The 23,280-nt window shown below is 35.0% G+C and overlaps 1 protein-coding gene, 1 long non-coding RNA gene and 1 pseudogene across 6 annotated transcripts in view, besides 1 other annotated feature; 1 reads left to right on the top strand and 2 right to left on the bottom strand.

Moving 5' to 3' along the window:
- The window catches only part of C7orf78 (chromosome 7 open reading frame 78), a 58,845-nt gene extending 45,449 nt beyond the window's left edge, over nucleotides 1–13,396 (bottom strand). Inside the window, exons 1-2 of one of the 3 annotated variants that reach the window (NM_001386512.1) lie at nucleotides 12,725–13,396; nucleotides 9,669–9,776 (exon numbers count right to left, since the gene is read on the bottom strand). The gene's annotated coding sequence lies outside the window, so the exon portion shown is untranslated. Of the gene's footprint in view, nucleotides 1–100; nucleotides 312–9,668; nucleotides 9,777–12,724 lie in introns of those variants that run through there. The other 2 variants (NR_136261.1, XM_047419720.1) reach the window with 2 other exon arrangements.
- LOC105375156 (uncharacterized) lies at nucleotides 229–22,089 on the top strand. Of its 3 annotated transcripts, XR_001745093.2 has the most exons (8): nucleotides 229–444; nucleotides 901–926; nucleotides 1,188–1,222; nucleotides 2,426–2,526; nucleotides 4,742–4,875; nucleotides 5,147–5,251; nucleotides 15,753–15,806; nucleotides 21,818–22,089. It is a non-coding gene; the product is annotated as an uncharacterized LOC105375156 (long non-coding RNA). The 3 variants fall into 3 exon arrangements; XR_927037.3 differs by lacking the exons at nucleotides 15,753–15,806; nucleotides 21,818–22,089 and having other exon boundaries at nucleotides 5,147–6,268; XR_927039.3 differs by lacking the exons at nucleotides 4,742–4,875; nucleotides 15,753–15,806; nucleotides 21,818–22,089 and having other exon boundaries at nucleotides 5,147–6,268.
- Nucleotides 3,003–3,297: a silencer, noted in NCBI's record as "tiled region #5173; HepG2 Repressive non-DNase unmatched - State 23:Low, and K562 Repressive DNase matched - State 8:EnhW". NCBI's record gives its function as "represses a minimal TATA promoter and a strong SV40 promoter by Sharpr-MPRA in HepG2 and K562 cells {active_cell/tissue: HepG2 | K562}" and the evidence as "EXISTENCE:reporter gene assay evidence [ECO:0000049][PMID:27701403]".
- Nucleotides 4,736–5,645, bottom strand: TAS2R2 (taste 2 receptor member 2 (gene/pseudogene); annotated as a pseudogene).
- Nucleotides 22,090–23,280: the final 1,191 nt, after the last annotated feature.

Below are 23,280 nucleotides of genomic sequence, written 5' to 3'. Positions count from 1 at the left end.
TATGTTTAGTTCACTGTTATTAGTTGTTTAGGGTACAAAAATAGATTATGACTCCAGATTTCAAGTAAATTATAAGTAATTGGCTAGAAAAGATACAAACCTATAAGAATACATCACGAGATAAGGTGCTAAATGCCAAGTGATTTGTCCTGACGGTTACTCTCATGAGAAATTAGTGAGAGGAAGGTCTCTGAAGCTTGAGAATGTCTCCAAAGATTTCTTAGAGCATCTGAGATCATTACTAACCCTTGATGACAGTAGAGTACTTAATAAAAGGGGAGAAGAAGGGAAAGGAGTTTGGATGGACGAACAGCATAAGCAACATTCTGGAATTTTCTTTAATGCTCTCATGAATGCATTCTTGGAATTTTCTAATATGTAAACATTATTTTGTGGCCAACTGACTTCAATTATATGTAGAACCATCCAAAAGTCTCCTCTCAGGTAGGTAATTCTGAATGTATATTTCTGAATTTCCAAATTAGAAATTTAGAGTTAGAAATTTTGAGTTTCTCAGCCAGACGAGGTGGCTCACGCCTGTATTCCCAGCACTTTGGGAGGCCGAGGGCGGCGGATCACGAGGTCAGGAGATCGAGACCATCCTGGCTAACACGGTGAAACCCCGTCTCTACTAAAAATACAAAAAATTAGCCAGGTGTGGTGGCGGGCACCTGTAGTTGCACCTACTCTGGAGGCTGAGGCAAGAGAATGGCGTGAACCCGGGAGGCAGAGCTTGCAGTGAGCCGAGATCACGCCACTGCAGTCTGGCTTGGGCGAAAGAGTGAGACTCCGTCTCAAAAAAAAAAAAAATTTTTTTTGAGTTTCTCAGCTCCACAAATTTGGGAACGCAACAAGTTGTGGCAAATGAAAACCTCAACACTCTGATTTCTGTATTTCTAGGCATTAAGGAACATGAACGCTTTTAAGTAAGTTATTTGAATTACATATGTTTGTATAAATGGAATAACTTAAAATTTACTGTGGTAATAATTTTTTCATAGAACAGATAATTGCAACTTGAAATATTCTATAAGTTAAAAAAGAAGTAAAATAGGCTTTAAATAGTGTTCCGAAAAAGAAAATAAAAACAAGAGACTTTCTTTACTTGGAAAAAATAAGTAATATCAACTAATGCCATAATGTAGCTAAACAGTCTAACTCCTATTTTGTCTCTTTCTCTTTCAAAGGGGATTTCCAAACTGGAAATAACCAACACAACTAGGTAAGAATTGAAGCTTAAGAAAGGTGAGAGGATAGTAAAATAACATATTTACATAAATTCAGGTTCATAAAGCCATATTAATTACATATCAGCACAATAAGACGACTGGCAGTGGGAAATGAGCTGGCACCCTTTGGAAACCTATTGGGAAGGTGAGGTGCTTTAAGACTGGACATTGGAGATTAGACATGCCTGAATTTAATCCTTGAAAGAGCTGTGCAAAACAGCCACTTTGTGGCCACCATCTGACATGTCACACAGTGTGGGATAGGGAATAGACTTTCATGAGTAACAAATTTACAGCGTAAGATGAGGAAAAAAAATGAGTGTGTTTGTGTGGTCTAATCCTTTTAATATCCCCCGGATGAATGACCAGGCCCAGGACACTCTGTTGGACACATGGTGGGTGAACATTTTGGGTGGTAAGAATTCCTCCTCTTGACATTCTCCTTTACCACAGAGCAAGCCTGAGAGCAATTTTATCAATGGGAGAAGACGGGCAGAACAGACTGACTAACAGGTTATCTGGGCACCATCTTTACTGAGTTTGGATGTCAACTGTGCGTGGAGGTGTTGTTTGGGAAAAGTTGTCTATCGGTACCTGGTGACTTTGGGGACCTGTGTGAAGTTGCATTCCTCTTTTTCAAGGGAAAGGGCTAACAGTTCAGTGGTAGGTTGAGTTTGAAAGCAGCCTTACCACTAGGAGGAGGTAGCAGCCCCAAATTCTAATTTTCTCAGTGATGAGGCAGCCAAAGGTGAGCTCTCAATGTCATTTTAGGACAGTCATGCTTATTGCACCACAGAACCTCAATAAATTCTAGAATATGTATTTCTAAACAGATGATCAGTTATTGCTGTAGGGAAATAGAGGTCAATTCACAGTGATTTGTTTACAAAGTAGGGCTATGCATGAGTAAAATACACCTAATAATGTACGATGCTATCATATTGTGCCTATAATAAATTTGGCTGCTTGTCAAGTCTGAGGTTGTCTGTGTCAGCACTTCTGATGTTCAGAGCTTGCTTGTTAATTTGTGTTTTTTCTCTCCCTTTTTTCTAAGGAGCCTCTTAAATTTATTATGGTTAGACACCTCCTTCTTCAATTATCTATGTTCAAGTCACAGAGATTAAAATATGCTCCCTTGACTAAGTGGGAGTGATACTTCAGAGAAGGAATTATCTTGTTCCATATTTACTTACCAGGTCAAGCATCCATCATGCACCATGTACACCACAGTGCACCACAGCTGAGACCAGTGTGGATCCCACCATCAGCAGCTTTTCCAAAGGACCCAGGCAAAATGGTCAATATTGCCTTCTCTCCTCACTTTTACCTCACCTTTCAGCCTCTTGGTCCCTTCCTCCACTCCCACCCTAAGATGCTTATAGTCTATTTGTCATCCTCCAGTGGTTTATAATTCCTGTTTCACTACCTTATTTAGCCTGTTGCCTTTTACAGCATTCCAAAATGCTCATTTATTCTCTTTTATGACTCATCCAATACTAACCCTATTTACCATTCTAAACTGAAGTAGACTGCACCTCTTTTTCTCAAGTACTAATGTAGAATTTCAGTTTTATTTGTCCAATTTCAAACACTAGGAAAGTTTAAGAAATAATCTTCGTGCCTTCCTGATAGTGGCAATTGAACATTTTTCTTGACATAGAACAATATTTGGTCTTAACTGATCTTTGCTGTGGACCAGGCACTGTTCTAGGTATTTTATACTTGCCAGCAAAATCTCACAGCAATCTTTGGGAGTAGTTACTTTTATTATCTCATTTTACAGATGAAGAAATGTAGAAAGATAGTCTAACAGCTTGCCCAAGATTATACATCTAATAAGCAGCTGGGTCAGGAGGCAAACCCATCCAGTTTGGCCTGAGGCCAGGTTCTTAATCTCTGTAGTACAGTGACTAAATCGGTTCTCAAAGTGTGGCCCCAGACCAAGAGCATGAGTATCATTGGAAACTCATAAGAAATGGTAATCCTTAGGCCCTATCTCAAACCTGCTGAGTCAGAAATTTTGGAGGTAGGGCCCAGCAATCAGTGTTTTCACAAGCCTTCCAGGGGATTCTGATGTCTGGTCAACTTTGAGAACCTCTCCCTCAGAGTATAGTCAGGGAATTGCTAATACAGATTCTAAATTTTATTTTATCTGTTAGCAAATCATTGCACACATTCCTACACATATTTAGTTTTTTTCCTCATCCCAGCAACTTTTAATCTACTTTAATAGCAATTTATTTACAATTAAAACACTACATATCCTTTATCTTCAAAAGCCAATAAGGATTTTATAGATTTATTTACTTACTTATTTGACAGGGTCTTGCTCTGCCGCCCAGGCTAGAGTGCAATAGCACAATCTCGGCTCACTCCAACCTCCTGGGATCAAGCAATTCTCTCACCTCAGTCCCCAAGTAGCTGGGATTACAGGCATGTGCCACCATGTCTGGCTAGTTTTTGTGTTTTTTGTAGAGATGGTTTTTTGCCATGTGACCCAGGCTGGTTTCAAACTCCTGGGCTCAAGTTATCCACCCACCTCGGCCTCCCAAAGTGCTGGGATTATAGGCATGAGCCACCGCACCAGTGTGGATTTTGTAGATTTAAACAGATATCCTAAGTGATGTCAGATACTGCAAAACACATTTTTCTTTCCTAAAGTAAGACTATTCAAGATCCTTAAAGAGCAGAATCAGTTCACATCTAGCAAGAGCTTTCAAGAGTAAACAGAGACCTGTTTTACTTTTGACTTCAAGGCATTTGATGCTGTCATACTCCAGACAAAATTCTTAGTTGGAAAGAAGTTAAGATACCTGTTGTTGAACATTTGTTCACTGGGATTTGGCTGTCAGCAACCTCCTCAACATTCTTTCTGGGAGTGAGTTTAGTACTCCTGAGAGTTGAAAAATATTTCTGTTTTGTAAAAAAATTGAGACTTTGGATTGTGTTTATGTATGCATATGCATGCCAACTCAATTTGCATCTTATGATCTACCAATCTGAAATCAAAAGCAATGTAAGACCATAACCAGTATTGCTGGGGACATTGCTATGACAGACAGTTTCAACATAAAATTTGAATCTCTTTGAAAAATACTTAAATGTCCTTAAAGCCAAATTATTTTATTGTTTCAATTCTTGAACTAAATCAAGATACTTTTTCTTGTTTAAAGCAGGTGCTTCCCAATGACTTGGGTAGAGAGATTAAAAGAACTACCTTGGTCAGCCAAATGAAGTCTTAGTATTTTTTTTATTTCTAAAATGTAACTATACTCCAGTGCAAGTATTGTTACTTAAATGTATTACCATCGCAGTAGTTTTAAGCATATAAGTCGTGAAAAAAAGACATATCCCACCCATCCAACATCAAAATTAGTGCCTCACTTGTCCTGGGGGTCAGACACTGGCAGAAAATTACCAGAGAGAGGGTGAGTCAGCATACAAAACCCAAGTAAGTCCATTGAATCTAAATCAAGGAAAGAAATAGTTCACATTGTTCTTCTTCTTCATAGTTTCTTTTTGAGGCAGAGAATTCTTCTAAATGATTGTTGGAACTTAGAATTACTCAAGATTATTATAACCGAGTGGCCAGAGGGATATGCTGCCATTATGTCCTTCAGCATAAAGAACTGGTGACTTCTGTAAGGTAAACTAAATGTCATATTTGTCATGAAGGCAGCAAAATAAGAAATAAAGAAGCAAAAGAATGTTATCACTGTTTTTAATGCATTTATATGGGCTTCTGTGTTGGCATTTCTAAAGCCATGAGATCCATGTTGCATCCGATGAGTGTGCTTGTAAAGAGAGATGAGTAACATAGAAGTGCACATCACAAATATGGCTAGAGGAAATATTAATGCCAAGTTGACAAGAAGCACTTCACTAATTTTCTTTATCTTTGTTTTACTCTTTTTTAGTGTGGTGTTTCTGAGGGCATCCTCTTCCACATTTTTAGCGTAATCTACCTCGACACACAGATGCAATGCTCACAGAGGCCAGAACGCTTCCCAGAAGCAGCCAAGGTATTAACTTTGGGATCCTGAATTTCAACCAAAGAAAACAGGACTGAGTGAAGCCTGAAATCTTGAGGCAGTAAAATACAGAAAGGCAAGTGGCAAACCATAGGCTGATAGAGCTAAAAAACATCCAAAGGAACATCATTGCTGCACCATAAATTATTTTGACGTAAAGGAGTGGAAAGAACACAGAGAAAAAACTTTGTACCATTAACACCATCTGCAGACCAAATCTAGACATCCCTATGCACATTAAGAGGATTTGAATTGGCATTAGCTTTCTATGTTTGATCAATTCATTACAGTTAACAATGATAAGAAATCCATTTACTGTGATCCCTGTGAAGAATTCTGCTGACATCATGATAATATGAAGAATAGCTGAAAAAGACAAGGCCATGTTTTCTAAGTAAGACAAGTCTTAGCTTTTCCTTGTAGATGGTCCTGAATACTTCCTCCAGATGATCTTGCAAATGGGAACATACAGCACCGAGAAGTCTCAACTTCTGCCAGCTTCTGTATCATGGGTAGAGCCTTACACTAGCTTTTCCTCTAAGGAAGAAAATCAGAGACTACTTTTTGAATCTGGTGCTCTTCAGATGAAACTGGAGCAATGCAAATCTGAAGATATGAATGATGGCTAGGTCTTCCAATTACATCCTGAGAAAAATTGCTCCCTTGGCACCATTCCATTCTCACTCTTGCTCAATTTTGAAAAAAAAAAATCTGATTGCAAGTATGTTTTGCTTTGGTTATTGATGTTTTGTTTTTGTCTTTTATTTTTTCCTAATGCTAAATGCTGCATCCTGAAGACAGATACTTATTTCCTATTACTGCCACAAATATCCAGTCTCAAAGATAGCTCTTTCCCCGGCACACTGTTTGACTTATAATAATTTCAAGACACTTTAATAAAATTTCCCCTCCCCATATCCTATCCCTACTAAAGGCAATTTCCTTTCCAGACTTGAAAATCAGTTCCTGGAATATAACTTTTTAATAAAAATCTTCCTTCCCCTGAAATATATCCTGTTTTCATGGCCTTCTTGATACAATGTTGACCTTATGAATAGCAAACCAGAGTTATAAAAGTAGTGCATAATTAATTCACATGATGACATCGTCCTGGGCTCTTGTTTACAAGCATCATTTCAAAAAGTAGATGATGTAAAAGCTATTAACTACCAGCAGAGGGCATAATTATCATGTTAAAGTGAGCATCATCCCTCTATTATGATTACAAGCAGGTAATAATACAACCTTGCTGAACTTCAGTTACATCAGAAGTAAAATGTAAATAGACCACTACTTTGTAGAATAAGATATGGTGCTCAAAGTGCTAAGTTCCTGGTTGGGTGATACTAACCACTCAAAAAATGTTAGCTATTAATATTATTAAATATCTGTCCTCATATTGTGCTTACCACAGCAAGAAAATAACCATTCTATATAGAAATATTTTCAAAAAAAGGCTAAATATAAGATTGTGATAGTATGGAAAATTTCAAAAATGAAAGAACTGGACTTACTACCCACTGTTTACACCAATCATGGCTTTTAGAGATCCCCTCAGGGTCTTCCATGAAATGTACATCCACTAGCTATTGAAAGCAAATGTCGATGCCACCTGTCACTTTCTCCTGCCAGCTTCATTACTTCCCCACCCATCTTCTACACATCACTGCTGTCCAAAATGCAGCAATATTGGTCCTATCCATATCTCTTCTAAAATTCTAGTTTTATGTCCTACATAGCAATTTTGCCTGTGGTTTTTTGTCTTGGCTTTTCTTCTTAATAAACCCTGACTTTGCCCAGCAAATAGTATTTGTCTTGCCCTCTAGCCTCCTGAAGGCATTCCCGCTTCTAGATACAGGTGAAGAAACTTCGGCTCCAATCCAAGCCCTAGACCAGTATCATGACTATGAGGTGAATGAAAAATAAGTGCGATCTGCATAGTTTATAACTTAATGTCCTAAGTTACCTCTCTGAGATTAGTTATATATATTAAGTGTTTACATTTAAAAGGATCTACTGAGTTTTCAAATACTGTAGACCTATACGGAATTCTGCTTCTTAGTTAAAATAAAAGTTCAATCAATCTCAGTTTTCCGTTTTTCAAAAATTCTGTTTCCGTTAATGTTTTATTATGAATGTGTTTCATTAAATAAACTTGCTGAGTTAAAGACACTTGAGCAAATGAGGGGAAACAATGCATATAAATAACCATCCAGATGATATATACATGCCAAATTATTAATAATGATGTAATGTGACTAAAAATCTTGAAATGTATACTGACTATTGGGGTAATCTTTTTCATGACAGATGTCCCTTGCTTTTTGTCTATACTGTTACAAGCCATTATGAAAATGATATTTTAATATGCCCCAATACTTCTTATTCTAGTGCAACAATAAGAATTCTTTTATATTGCAAATATCTTCACCATAATAGCCAGCATTTGGGTATTCCTTTTCTATGGTCTTTTCTTTCAAATTTCCAGGGCAAACTAGGGCAATAAAAGGTAGTCAAATATACGGAAACTCTTCTTAGCCAAAGCAAAAAACCAAAAAAAAAAAAACCAATCAAACCCCCTCCACACATATTGATTTAATTAAGATTAATTTCTCTGAAAATAATACTTTACAAGAAACATTTCATTGTTAAAATTGCACTTTCTTACAACAGCTACCTCAGAATGCATATATGGTATGAATATAACTTTTAAGCAATTCTTTTTGAATTTCACTTCTTAGATAAATACATAATTTATAAGCTATAATTTATCCTCATTGAATGTCCAAGGGCTTTATATTTTTTTTTTGCTGAGCTGTTTCAAACCACTCTGCCTTTGTCACATTCATAAAGGTGCAGCTGGCCATATGGGCTGTTGGCTAAATGATTCTGCAATGAGATTTGAATTTATCTAGAACTTGTTTCATTCTGAAATCCTGGATTCAGGCTCTCATTTGGCTCCCTATATACATCATTTAATTGAAGAAAAAGCTTGACTTTTCCAATAACTATTCTAAAAGTATAATTGACAGTAAGCTACAATTTAGTTAGTTTGTATTTGCATTTGTGATTTTCCTGTCATATGTGGACTGTTTTGCATTTGCCATGATTGAATCTCATTTTGGAAGCAGAGTTTTAATGAAGAGCTCTTTCTCAGATATAGGAAATTTAATGGTGAGTTGTACTGTCTTGAAGTTACTAATTCATAGTCTTGTTAGAGATTTGGGAAAGGCAGTGGCCAAATGAAGATAGATGGTTTTCAAATTAAGCAATGTTTGAAAGTTTTATGAAAATAACATATTTCTTTTTAAAGAAACATAATATCTATCAGGGGCACTGAATATTTATAATTCACTAAACTAAATTTCAGCTTAGTCACCTTCCAATCAATATGTATTCTTCTAAATGGTCACATGATACTTGAGAATTGGCATACTTCCAGTAGAGGGTTTCTTGTATTTTCTTTGAAAAATGTGGTAACAGAGTTTTCTGATTCTAAGACGATGGGATAATGTTTATAAATTAGTTGGCAAATTGGAATATACTTTAAATATTGATATTATGACCTGGTGTTTCCCATGCTAGAGAGCTGCTTGTTTGGTTCTTATTGGTTATAACTGCACAAGTATTTAAAAATTTTAAACAAGTACATTGACTTGTTCTACATGCCAGTGATGAGGCTAAGTACTTTATAGGTCACTTAAAGGAGACTGAATCTGTTTTCATATTTTCAGTTGAAAATACTTTTGTTTGCAATTTTTCCGCTACGCTGGCTTTGCTATTGAAGTTTTGCAGAGAGAATTGGCTTTAAAGACTCAATCCTTTATTGGTCCAAATTAATCTGCTGGATTCGTTTAATTCCTTGAAAAACACTCAAAATATTTTTTAGCCTTCTGTAAAGAACTAACCCAAAATTTCACTTACATTCTGTTTTGTTGTTATTATGTGGTCACAGGAAATAAATGGAGGAGTTTATATGGTTTAAAAAGACACCCTGGTCACACATTGGTTTACTCTCTCCTTGCTGAGATCAGACGCCAGGCACTGGAGAAACTGCATTTTGAAGGCCGTGAACATATCTTCATTTTTCTAAAGGATCAGTGTAGTCTTACTTTTATTTGAGTTTATTTCAGTATTCTAATAGGTTGTCTCTATGGATTTCAATCTCAAAGACAGACTTGTAAAATTTAATCCCTGACTTCTCTTCCCAAGTTTCTAGAATAACAACATTAAGTATCAGGTGGATGAAAAATCCAAATACAGTGATCATCAGGCTCATATTCCAAGCTGCCAAAATTATTCCCCAAATTATTTCACTTAATTTTTTGAATTTTCTGTTATTTGTAGAAAAAAGAGTTATCTCTGTTGCAGAGATAGGAAACTAGTCTTGAGATGTTAGGTAACTTACCTAAATTTAATCAGAAAATACATGACAGAAGCAGAAATGTTTTGATCTCCATATACACAAATGGATACTTCTTAGAGATATGTTAAATTGCACTCATGAAGTTAGTCTCTGAAAAAAAAGGAGGTGTATAAATTAAATTATAAAAATTATGGATACTTGATAATTACATTTTGATTTGACAATAATTTATCAGTTTATTTGCTGTAATATTAGAAAAGTAGTTTTATTCTTAAAATGTTCAAGAAATTATTCTACACACTACTATCTTTTAATTCTTACCACAAAATTACAATATTATCCGATATGCAGAACATAATGAAGTACACAGAATGAAGCTGAAGGAGAGTGCAAATACAAATTTGAATACAGGTGATGTGACTCTATCCAGAGCCCACAATGTTGACTAAAATGCTATTGTATGTTAGATTGAAATACTTTGCTCCATCAAAATAGTTTTAAAAATGTAAAATCAATGGAAAAAAATCACTGTTTAATGGCTTCAATCTTTTCCTTCCCTATATACAGAAATAGGAAAAACATAAATTTAATACATTGTCTAGGAGATTATTCATAAACTGATGAAACTATAAAATATTGACCTTGTATTGTTAGCATATCAGACTGCACCTAGATGCTATGGAACTAAGGCACCAAAGAGCAAATAAAACCTAATAGTAGATGTTCAATAAATATTGTTGAATGAATAGTGTGTGGAAAATGAGATACAACAAAATTCATATGAACTTACAGGACTCATATGAACTATAGAACTTTACATGGACTATATAACTTCTAGGACTCATACAAATTTTAATGCTAGATGGAATGGAGTTCTATTACACCATAACTATTCCTATTTAATAGAGAAAGCTATGTTGGAATCTTAAAGGTTAAGTAACTTATTCAAGATTATATCAGTCAATAGTGGCTGAACTTGTATAGGCCACTTTAATTTTCTGGGGTTACATTTCCTTCTAGGCAAAACAAATGTGTAGAAGAAAAACATGAAAATTTAGTTTTGATATTGTCAGCATTTTCAGAGTCATCTGCTAAAACCTTGAATCAGTGGAGATACCTTTTCATGAGCTATGTCTCACCTAGGAGAGGTAAAAAAGAGGATTTCGTGATTTAGTGATTTATCGGATCTATCTCCTTATGAGTCAATCCCATTCTCAACTCCTTCCAACCCAGCTGATAGCATAATGTCTACTGAAATTCAACTTTAGAGGCCCTATGACGTGCAAATTATAATTTGGATTTTAGGCAATTAGTGAATGATGGTGTAGAGAAAAGCTTAGTTTCAAAAATTCCCCATTCTCAACTCCTTCCAACCCAGCTGATAGCATAATGTCTACTGAAATTCAACTTTAGAGGCCCTATGACGTGCAAATTATAATTTGGATTTCAGGCAATTAGTGAATGATGGTGTAGAGAAAAGCTTAGTTTCAAAAATTCCCCATTCTCAACTCCTTCCAACCCAGCTGATAGCATAATGTCTACTGAAATTCAACTTTAGAGGCCCTATGACGTGCAAATTATAATTTGGATTTCAGGCAATTAGTGAATGATGGTGTAGAGAAAAGCTTAGTTTCAAAAATTCCCCATTCTCAACTCCTTCCAACCCAGCTGATAGCATAATGTCTACTGAAATTCAACTTTAGAGGCCCTATGACGTGCAAATTATAATTTGGATTTCAGGCAATTAGTGAATGATGGTGTAGAGAAAAGCTTAGTTTCAAAAATTCCCCATTCTCAACTCCTTCCAACCCAGCTGATAGCATAATGTCTACTGAAATTCAACTTTAGAGGCCCTATGACGTGCAAATTATAATTTGGATTTCAGGCAATTAGTGAATGATGGTGTAGAGAAAAGCTTAGTTTCAAAAATTCCCCATTCTCAACTCCTTCCAACCCAGCTGATAGCATAATGTCTACTGAAATTCAACTTTAGAGGCCCTATGACGTGCAAATTATAATTTGGATTTCAGGCAATTAGTGAATGATGGTGTAGAGAAAAGCTTAGTTTCAAAAATTCATCTTTATTATTCCTTTGGACCGCTTAATCCAAGAAAAAATTAAGAATGCAATACTTTTGAAAGTCACACAAAGACGCAAAATATAAATTAGTTGCTATGAGCTAATCGAAGAGGACAGATATTTACCTAAGATGATAGAACAGAGGCAAATTTGGGGGAGGAGCATTTAAATTAAAAAAAAAATTATTGCAACTGAGTAAATTCCAAGTAACATAAAAGAAGCAGACAAAAGTAGAAAGCTTTAGTCCAAAGAATCAGAAAAAAGTATTTAGAATGCTGTACTAATAAAAGTACAACGTGCTTTCTATTCTATTACACCTCCAACCTGAAATAGACTGTAGCCCACCTCCAGATGTATGACATGCCATGACAGCATGCATGTAATCACAAAAAGTGACTGATAGCAGAATATATGGTAACAGCATAATATATAAATGTATACGTTATACATTATACATACAAATTGCGACATTATAAGAAAATAACCAAATAGGGTAGAATTAAATAATATATTTTCTACTAAAATAATGACTACAGAGAGTTTATTTAAATTTTCTGTTGAATTTTCTGTTATTTGTAGAAAGAAGAGTTATCTCTGTTGCAGAGATAGAAAACTAGTCAAGATGTTAGGTAACTTATGTAAATTTAATCAGAAAGTACATGACAGAAGCAGAAATGTTTTGATCTGCATATACACAAATGAATACTTTTTAGATATGTTAAGTCACATTTCCTCCATAATTGAGCCATCTCATATTTTGAAATAGAAAAAGAATACAACTTCAAATCATGGTTCAGATCACACCTAAGAACAATCAATCATTTTAAAAATCATGAAGGGTTGCTATTACTTAGCCCAATTTGAAAAACAAATTGCTTCAAGAAGTTTGAATAAACATACAGTGTTTAAGTATTTTTATAGTTATCCGTCCCTTTTTCAGAGCTTATTTTCAATATCTATTTTTCAATATCCATTCCATATACAAAGTGGCCATATTCCAACATAAGATCGACCTTTACCTTTGTATTTCTTCAGGAGACACTCCAGACTCAAAATAATAAGAGAAACATACAGCAATTTGTTGAAGAAATGTATGTCTGCTGCCATTTCTGGTCCTCTCATGGAGATTTCTTTCTTTCTTTTTTTTTTTTTTTTTGAGATGGAGTTTTGCTCTTATTGCCCAGGCTAGAGTGCAGTGGCACAATCTTGGCTCACTGCAACCTCTGACTTCTGGTTTCAAGCAATTCTCCTGCCTCAGCCTCCCAAGTCGCTGGGATTACAGGCGCCCGCCACCGCGACCAGCTAATTTTTTTTTTTTTTTGTAGTTTTAGTAAAGACGAGGTTTCATCATGTTGTTCAGGCTGGTCTCGAACTGCTGACCTCATGATCCTCCCGCCTCAGGCTTCCAAAGGGCTGGGATTACAGGCGTGAGCCACCGCACCTGGCCTGAGATATTCTCAGAATGAAAGATTTGTAGCAGCTAGAAACCAATCAGCAATGAGTTAAAACATCAACACCGTTTATCTTCTTTAGCTTTAGTATGATAATTTGGACTGTGCAAAATATGAGATCGACTTCTGTTCTTTGTCTTTGAGAAATCCCAAAACCTTAATCAAAGTGTGTTTTTCCTTGTCTCAAATCTAACTGATGCTGTCTCGAGAAAACCTTTGTAGAAAATGAAAAGCTCCATGCCCAACTCTGGTGACATTTCAGAACTGATGAGTAGAAGTGGCAATATATGGAACTTTTAGTTCATATGATGATCCGTCCATCCACAAGTGGAGAAAAAGTGGTACCACCGTTCCTTGATTTTCATACAGATTTGGTCAAGTAGGCCTTCTGTGTTAAATCAGAGGGAAATTAATCAGGTTATGTTCACAGTACTGTGTATAAATTGATCATTTTCTCAAAAAGTATCCGCATACAAATAGCAGCATTTCTAAGAGACATATTTCTTGTGAATTGAAAATTTCAAGCTAGTATATATTTATGACTGTGACATCTAAAAACTAGTGAATAGAGTAGAAATGTTTCTTCTTCCAAGATGACATGCATAATACCTTTTAGTGTGTTGTGCATCAAAAAATGTGTACTTGGTACCTACCATTCTGCCCCTTGGTGATACAAGACAGATTCTAGGAAATAGACTCTGATTGACGTTCAAACATGAAGACTAGCTTTCTGGGACTGATATTTTTTTCATTTGGATTAGATGCAGGTTGCTTGTTTTAAACACATATATTCTGATTTTTCTAACATTTTATGGTTGCTGGTAATAGATAGAGGAAAATGAGTATAAATCTTGAGAATTTCCTTGAAGTGCTTCTGCTATAGCAGCTCTCTTCCAATTAAAAAGAGTATCTATCCATTCACCATAAACTTTGCATAATAATGTATTCATGATTGTTTGGTTATCTGTGATCATTTGAATAAATATCACTGAAATTATGAGTGCCCTGACTCTTTCTAGAAAGTTTAACAATATTTGTTAAAAAGATAGTGCAATATAACAATGGTTTCTATTACACAGATTCCTCTACAAAAGTGAAAGCAAAGTCTATGGCTTGTATCTCTTTCTCATTTATTTTTATTAATGATATAGTCATCAATATTTTAAATACCATCCCCGTGGTCACACCATAACTTTAAAAAAGTGTGCAACCAATCACCATATTTTGGATTAAGGTTAGCACCACACTAGCTTGGGAAATAAGCATCTAAACCTGGTTCTATCCTTTATGTATGCCAGCACAGCTAAAACATGTTTTATATTGGCACTAAAAAGGAAGAAAAACAATTCACGGCTATTTTTTTCCACCGTTAACCTCTTGAGAGTAAGACTGCTTTAAAAAAATTGCTTTATGATTGACATATAAGAAGTTGTAGATATTTAATGTATATAACTTGTAGTGTTTGGAGATAACTATATACCTTTAAAACCATCATCACTATCAATGCCATAAACTTACTTACGCATCACCTCCTAATATTTCCTCTCATTCCCTTTGTTTGTTTCTTTTTGTGGTTAGAGCACTTAATCTTAAGATCTACCCTCGTGGCAAATTTTTAAGTACGTGAAGTTTCACTTATGCAAAGATTTCTCTTTAAATGTCAACTCAGACTAAAGGAACCTAGAATAGTAGGCAAAGCATTACTTGAAAATGAAACCCTTTCTACTGTAAGCAGGCAATCAAGACTTGCATCATAATGGAGGAAATAAGATGCTTGGCTATAACTTTGGCTTTTATCAAATTAAAGGAGGGAGAGCAGAGGGAATATTTGCTTCCCTTGTGCATCTTATCTGAAAGTGGTGTCTTTACGAATTTGTAAAATCATACAAATTTTACAAATTGAAATTGTATTTATTAAGCCTATGTTTAAAAAATGGTAGAGGAAGCAGTTGGAAATGAAGAATATGAGACAAGTAGAACATTCCGGTCTAAAGTCTCCTTTTCTAGAGCATATTCCTCTACCAACTAGTGGCTTAGGCCTTGCCTATCCCAAGCTAATATTTTCTTCTGTCCCTCAAGAGCCTGGCAGCTCGTCTGACATTATTGGCCCACAGTTACTCCCTTGTATCTGGCTTCCTTTGTGACTCTCAGAGCCAGCATCTCTTAGTGCTTTCTAGAGTGCAACCAGATTCCCCTTTTCCCTCCTGTTTCCTTACCAGTCACTAGAATTGACAGATTACAAATAAATAAAACTTCTCAGTATTTTGGCATGGTTAAAAGCACATTTTTTATTTTCCTAGCTGTCAATATTCCCAATAAAAACTAAAAATTTCAGTCAAAGCTAATCATAGTTCTAAGAATGTAAGCCTTATAATTGCTAAATATTTTTGGATTAAATATAGATTAATAATAAATCTAGGTTTAGAATTACAGTGCATAGACTTTCAATACTTTTACATTGTTTTTATTTTGAAAAAGAAAACAATCGTCATAATCATTCTATACATATTTACTATAAAAGGAGTTCTATGTATATATGTCGTATATTAATAGACAACCGACTCATTGACATAACTTGTTTCTCTTTCCATTATAGAGTGAGCACTTTCTCATGGTGTAAAATATTCTACCAAAACCTTATTTCCAATAGGTAAGTACAATTTCATAATATAGTTATACAATAATTAGTTTAATATTTTAAATTTGTTAGACATTCAAGTTGTTTCCAATTTTCGATTATTTAATATTAAATAGAATATCTTTGCACACAAGTGTTTGACTGCATTTCTGATTATCTCCTTAGACTGGGATGGAGGAGTGAATCAGAGTACATAACTGTGTTTTAAGTTCAGGATATATACTGCCCCATTGTTTCAAGAGAAATTGTAACAGTTTATATCCCATCAGCAGAATATGAGCATTTCTGTTTTACTGTACATCTAGCAGCATTTTGTGTAATCTTTCAAAGACATTTTCGAATTTGATAGGGAAAATGACACTCAATTTAATTTCATTTGTGTTTTTATTGCAAACGTAGTTGAATTTTTTTAGATACATGTATTATCCACTGAAATTTTCTTTTTTGTGAATCATCTCTTTATATCTGCTGCCTGTTTTTTATTTTTAATTTTTTTTAGAGATGGGGTGGATTTCATTATGTTGCCCACGCTGGTCTTGAACTCCTGGCCTCAAGCAATCCTTCTGCTTCAGTTTATCAAAGCGCTGGGATTATAGGCATGGCCACCATGCCTGACTACTTCTTCTGGTCTTTATGCTTTTAACAGTTTCCAAATTAGAAAGGCAAACTTAATTCTTTATGTGTAACTAAATGTCACTGCATATTTATTTGGGGGAAGATAAACTTGTTACATTTTTTGTAAAAAGAAGTTCTAATAGGAATTCTTTAATTCAGCTATTATGCTTTGCTTTTTAATGTTGCAATACCTTTTAAAACACCATCTTCAGATGGAGCTCAGAATACATTGGAAATCACCTGGTGAATATGAGAGGTACAATTGGTAAAGTACTCTGCCAAAGGTTTCAGCTCCTAGTTGCTTATCTGGGCTACACTGATAAAGAGTATTGTAGACTGATGGTATAAACAGTGCTTCATCCAGTTATCTCATGTTTATTTCACTGTTTGTTAGTATCTCTATAGAGAATAGGATAAAAAAGAAGATGAAATATGATCAATTAATTTTACTCCTTGCACTATTGGTCCCCTGGGCAAGGAAATGTATTAAAGTTAGTATCTAAAATAAGGTTTCATGAATTATGTATAGATTTCATAAAATTTCTCTCACTTTAAATTGATAGTTTACAATAGCTAGGTGAAAAGAGTACATTTAATCAAATCTTTTTATAATGGAAGAGTTTTTTAAATTTATTTTGAATTAAAAATATATGTATACACACACACACACACACACACACACACACACACACACACACCCCTCTTATATAGGGTGCCTGTCTGTCTATAGTGTGTGTGTTATGACGGGTGAAGGAAGGATTTCTCCTGTAGAACTGCAAAGCTGAGACTCTAGATTCCAAGGAAAGACTCTCTTCTGGTACCAGTGTTATGAAAACCAGGCTGAGGGTCAGTCATAATGATAAAATCAAAATCTTGGAAGGAGCAGTGAAGTCATCTACATATGTATGAATAGAAATGGAGTGAGAAAAATATCTTATATGCAAAACAAAACATGTTACAAATCTATTTTTTAAAAATTTCCAAATACACTCTTGCTTTTCTGTAGACTTCATTAATAAGAAAGTACATTAATAAGAAATTCTTCTCTGTCTGAGCTTTTGAAACATCTCACATTAGGAACTTGCTGAATTAAGCCATCTGTATATCTTCCACTTGCTCCAGGCAGTGGATTTATGAATAACTTATAGAGAAATTATAAGATGCTTTAGCTATTTCAAGCGGTTTTAATTAGTCCTCTCACATAGCAGAGTTCGGAAAATTTTACAACATTAAAATCAATATTGTTCAACTTGATTAAAAAAATGCTATTTTTTCTCCCAATAAATTCACTTTGTAATAGTTTCGTCTTGGTTGAAGTGTATATATATTTTATGACAAGCAAATTTATCATTCAAACTTAAAAACAATCTCAAAATCACTGCTATTAATATTAAATATCGAAGACTTTCTATTATTTTTCTGTAGATGTTTCCGTATCCTATGAGATTAATTTTTAAGAACTTTCAATGTAGTCAATAACTTTTTTAAAAAGCTCTGATTTTTTAAAATCTTAAATGAATTATACCTTTCTCTGAAAGTGAGTAACTGATGAACAAAACCACTTGATAACAATGATATTACTAGCACAGAAGGGCCTGGAAGACCCAATGGGCTATTACGTTGTTCATAAACAAGAGGATTATTCTATCTTTGCATTCTGAACTCTGGATATTACAATTTAATTGCAAAAAATAATAATAATGGTGATATCAATAGAAGACATTTTTATTTTCTTAAGAAACTAAATATATTACAACTCGGGATCAAATACCAAACTACTTGGAAGCCAAATACAATCCCATGGGGAAAAAAATGAACACAGTGTCTTAGACATTTAAGAATACCAAATAGGCTGGGCACGATGGCCCACTCCTGTAATCTCAGCACTTTGGGAGGCTGAGGCAGGTGGATCACAAGGTCCGGAGATTGAGACCATTGTAGCTAACATGGTGAAACCCCATCTCTACTATAAATACAAAAAATTTGCCAGGCGTGGTGGCATGCACCTGTAGCCCCAGCTACTCGGGAGGCTGAGGCAGGAGAATTGCTTGAACCCAGGAGGTGGAGGTTGTAGTAAGCAGAGATCACCACTGCACTCCAGCCTGGGCGACAGAGCAAGACTCTGTCAAAAAAAAAAACAAAAAAACAAAACAGAACAAAAAAAAGAATAGCAAATAAAGCAAAACAAAAACAACAATGAAAATGTGAAGTGAAGTACCCTCCTAATTTAGGGAAATCAAAACACAACACAGAAGGTTTTCTGCATTAAAATGAATTTCTATAAGTCATATCTTAAAATGTGAAATCCTGACTGCATATATTGATCGTTTTTCAACTGTCAGTTTTTAACAAGGTAAATATCAGTGGATACGAAAAATTAATATGCCTAAAAGGAATGGCAAGCAAATTTTAAGAGCTTTTTAGAAAGTGAGTAACAGAGTGATGAAATGTTAAGTGGAAAAAATGAGTATGGACTATATGTATGAAGGCTCCTCTCTAGCAAATGACACACACACACCACAAGAACCAAAAAGCGTGCTTATTTCTCATATTTTAGAGTAGCCTATTATGTTAAGTTTAAAAAATGAGCCAACCATTCTGAGAGTTCCTTTTATCTACTTGGAACAGAAATTGCAATTCTTATTACAAATTATTTGAAACTAAGAGAAAAATATGTAGCCTTAGATTTTAGTAACTTTTCAGAAACACTAAGTGAAAGAGTTCTATTTCTTCATTCAAGTATTTTCTGTGATAGGTGACTGGTTCCCAGTGAAGGAAGAGGGAAATCTACCTTGGGTGAAACAAATAAAATTATGTATAAAGTTAACTCTTACCAATATAAAAAATTCATTTGAAGACAGACACTCAAGCATGGTTTCCTGGGGCACCCGTGCCTTTCTCAGATTCTAGTTTTTTGCTTTCTTGCACTCCAGCTGACAGTGATGCCAATTAGGTGCTGAGGCCTTGTGGGTCATAGTCCATTTGAGATTCTGATGAACACTATGAACTACCTTCCTTTAAAAGTATTTTTCTTCAAAGAAAATTATGGCTATAATTTCAGAGACTTCATAGAATCTGAGGTTGATTCATAAATTACAGAACCCAGATTAAGATCCTTGTCCTAAGAAAAAAAAAATGATATACGTATAAGGAGGTCGTAATAGCTAAATTTTAAAACAGCTGGAATTTTGACATATTGGGGCATGGTAATAAAAAGATCTTTGGTTATTTAATCTATGGGTTTTACCTTTTTAAAAATTATCAATGATAAATGAAAAACTCTTTTGGTCAGAACTACATTTACTTATTTTCAAGGTTAATTTTAATGTTAAATAAGTTTGTGAGACTTTAATTTAGTGTTAGTTGAATGAGATATGATCATAACATTTTCTTTGGTGTAGTCAAAGAAAGTCTTTGCTTTAAAAAGGAATCAAACTGGTTTTTTATCGAATAGCTTTTCAAGTCAATTTTTCCCAGAGTCAACCATGACCACTATTTGCTTAGAAAAAAACAGCTTTTTTGTGTCATATAATGTGAGTTCAGAACACAGATTTAAGTTCAATAAGCAGTTTGACACAGATAATGTAGTGTTCCCAAATACCCTTCAAGTGGTATTTGGACATTTTTTTTTTCTTTTTTGAGTAACAGGCTATTGATCTATTGAGATGAATTATCACTTAAACAAAAAGCAGAATGCCATGCCTATTTTGTGCATTTCTGTTTATATTCTCATTTTCATTTTTTGTATATATTTTATTTGAAATAAAACGCTCTAATAACAATGCTCTTTAGAATACTTTAAAGTGCTTAAATGACATATTTATAAAGATAAAATAGTGCACTATGGTTTTCAATTCTATTTGTTGAATCTTCATGTTGTTATAGAAGTAGTTTGTACATACAGAATGGCCCATATTTACATGGGGAGGCGTTGTAGTTCCTGCTGTGTGTGCTTACACATTAAACCATCATACTGTAGGTAAATGCAGGTTTTGTTCTATGTAAATAAGTGAGATGATGGGTCTTTTTACTAATCCATATTTACATGAACTGTCTGGATTTTTACTGGTGACAGTGAATCTAGTTAATAACCACAGTGCTCTACGGAAATGTACATTGAAAAGTTAAAAACATCCTATAAGCATCAGGGAACATCATTATATGTGAGTTAACTATTATTATTGTTTGCTTTTATGATGTAAACAAATGATCAACATTTAAAACCATGATTGAATTTATTAGTGCAATTCACTAAAATACTGAAATAGTCTTTGGCATGAAAAGACCTGCTCAGCTGGGTTAATATTCATGAAACTATGTAGATGCTTTGTGCCACACAGCTCTGTTGATGTCCAAGAAGAGTTATCAGTTGTGGGTGAGAGAGGAATTTCAGAGGATAAGTGTCTAGTAAAACAAAACATAGCTGTCTAGGCAGGGACGGATTTACCAGGAACCAATGAAGCACAAGCTTTGAGGCCTCTCACGACCTCCTACTGACCCCTTACTTCCAAGTCCTTGTAAGCGGCCTTAGGAATGCCTGTGAGTATTTGCTTTTGTAACATTCCCAAAAGTACAGTGTTTTGTATGAAATCAGTTAAGACAGTTCTCTCTTCACTTTAGTTTCTTTATACTTTTCTCATGGGAAGTACACTATGGTAACTGGAGTGATTGCAGTCATTTTTGAGATCTGGCTAAAAGGAAGCTGAGGATGCATTGAAATTGAGTGTACTATGATATATTTATGTGGTTCACAGTCTCTTCCATGGATATCCCTATGTCATTACTACTAGCTTTCACTATGTAGGAATGACTTTCTATTATCCTTTCCAATTTAGGTGGTGTCAGGTTTCAAGGATGTCAACATCCGAGTCAGAGGCATGTCACTGTATAACCACGCCCAACAGTATCAGACAGTGGAAACGTGTGTAATGATGAAAAACTTGGTCTTGAAATACACATACTCAAAAGCTAGTCTTTGGAAATTTGTCCAAATCCTACAGCTTATGAAAGAAGAAAACAGTAACCTTAAAAATTTACACAATAGCACTAGTGATGAGCTATGAAACTTAAATACATTTTTCTAATTTAATTATTATTAATAAAAATTTTCTACCAACTATGCCAGGAGCCTGAATTTTATCTTCCTATTCTCTTTATAGAAAATGTTATAACACTTTTGTCATGTGAGGAGATACTCAAAAAGTATATAGCCAAAAAAATAGGAAAAAGTATTATAGAAATGTGTGAGGAAGTATTAATAAAAATACACATTTTGCTTGTATTTTGTATCATAGATGATATTTGTCAGCTTTTAAAATTATGCAATATGTTGTGATTTTTCTCTTTCTAAATAATATTGACTATTGTATCTGATTTCGTATGAATAATTTTGCATTCTTTTTTATAAGGAGGGTCCAGATAATCAAAGCTTCGGATCTCCTAAAACCTGGCTTTGCCTCTTACTTGAGAACTTTGCAAAGAAGAATGCTAGCCAGTGAATGTTCAGAGAGGAAGGAAGAAGAAGCTGTCCAATGACCTTTTTTCTTATGGCTTTCTAACTTGATTCTTGACACTGTCACCAAGGTCAGCCTGCAGGAGAATAGGTTTCTTTCTCTTTATTTAAGTTTCTACATCTCCCCTACAGAAGTGCATCAAAATTGTTTCAATCAGTTATCTTTATTGTAAGATTATTAGTAGTTTTAAAAGTATATATTCTTTTGGCATTCTTTATTTTTCTACATTGAAAAATATTGCTTTTATTTAAAAAAAATAAAGTTATTATTTTAAAGAACTTGGCTCAAACATGGACAAGGTGACAGTGGTTCCCATTAGCACAGTTCAAAAAGATTTTAAGTTTATATTGTTGCCTTTTTACTAAATGAGAGGCCCTAGAATTGCCTACATAATTAATTACAATTTTAGCTTTTAAATGCGTGAAAAAATAATAAGAAAGTGAACAAAAATCATATGATAGATGCTAAATATTCAAGCTTATAGAGCATCCGTTTCTGAGGGAAGCACAACCTATTCCTTAAAAGCTATTTATATCTTGCATCTCCCATCCTGTAGGAGTAATCTGTGGAGAGACATTTGATTGATTATCTCTGCAATCCTCCCCTCCCCACTTCCTTCTCTGGCCCCTCCTTGTCCACATGGGCCTCTGGAGAAACCAGCGAGGGATGACTGGGGATAAAGGCTCGTCTCTGGAGAGGGCTGCCAACCTCACCTTGTTCCAAGTCTCCACAAAACACAGCCAACCTTCCAGACACAAAAGAAGCACCTCCTGACTCCATCTCTTTTCCTTGTTTTCTCTCTTTACAAGCATATTGGTATTTTTTCACAGAGAGATAATTCCCATTCACTTCTAGGAAGAAAATTTCGCTCTCAAAACTGTTGGTGAGAGACCCCTTGAAGAGAGAACTTCTCTGTTCTTCTGGAGGAGATGATTTAGTAAGGCAGTGCTGGAGTTCAAACTGAGCCTCCACAGGCCTAACTTGCTTCACTTTTAAGCTTTTAGGAAGAGAGCTTTTAGAGAGAGAAAATTGCTTTCCAAAAGGGAACTCTAGAAAGAGGACGAATGAGCAGGGCTGAAACTTTGAGAGAAAATGGAAGGAGTTGGAAGATGGAGGGAGGAACCAAAGTAACTAATAAGAATTTCTGGGGCTGGGTGCAGTGGCTCACACTTGAAATCTCAGCACTTTGGGAGGCTGAAGTCGTGGATCACATGAGTCCAGGAATTCAAGAGCAGCCTGGGCAATATGGCAAGACCCCGTCTCTACAAAAAATACAAAAATTAGCTGGGCATGGGGGTGTCTGTAGTCCCAGCTACTCGGGAGGCTGAAGCAGGAAGATCCCTGGAGCCCAGAGGTTG

Source organism: Homo sapiens, chromosome 7 (genome assembly GCF_000001405.40).
Source record: "Homo sapiens chromosome 7, GRCh38.p14 Primary Assembly".
NCBI classification, from domain to species: domain Eukaryota; kingdom Metazoa; phylum Chordata; class Mammalia; order Primates; family Hominidae; genus Homo; species Homo sapiens.
Note: the sequence above shows the minus strand (reverse complement) of the source record. Positions and strands in the feature narration are given on the sequence as shown.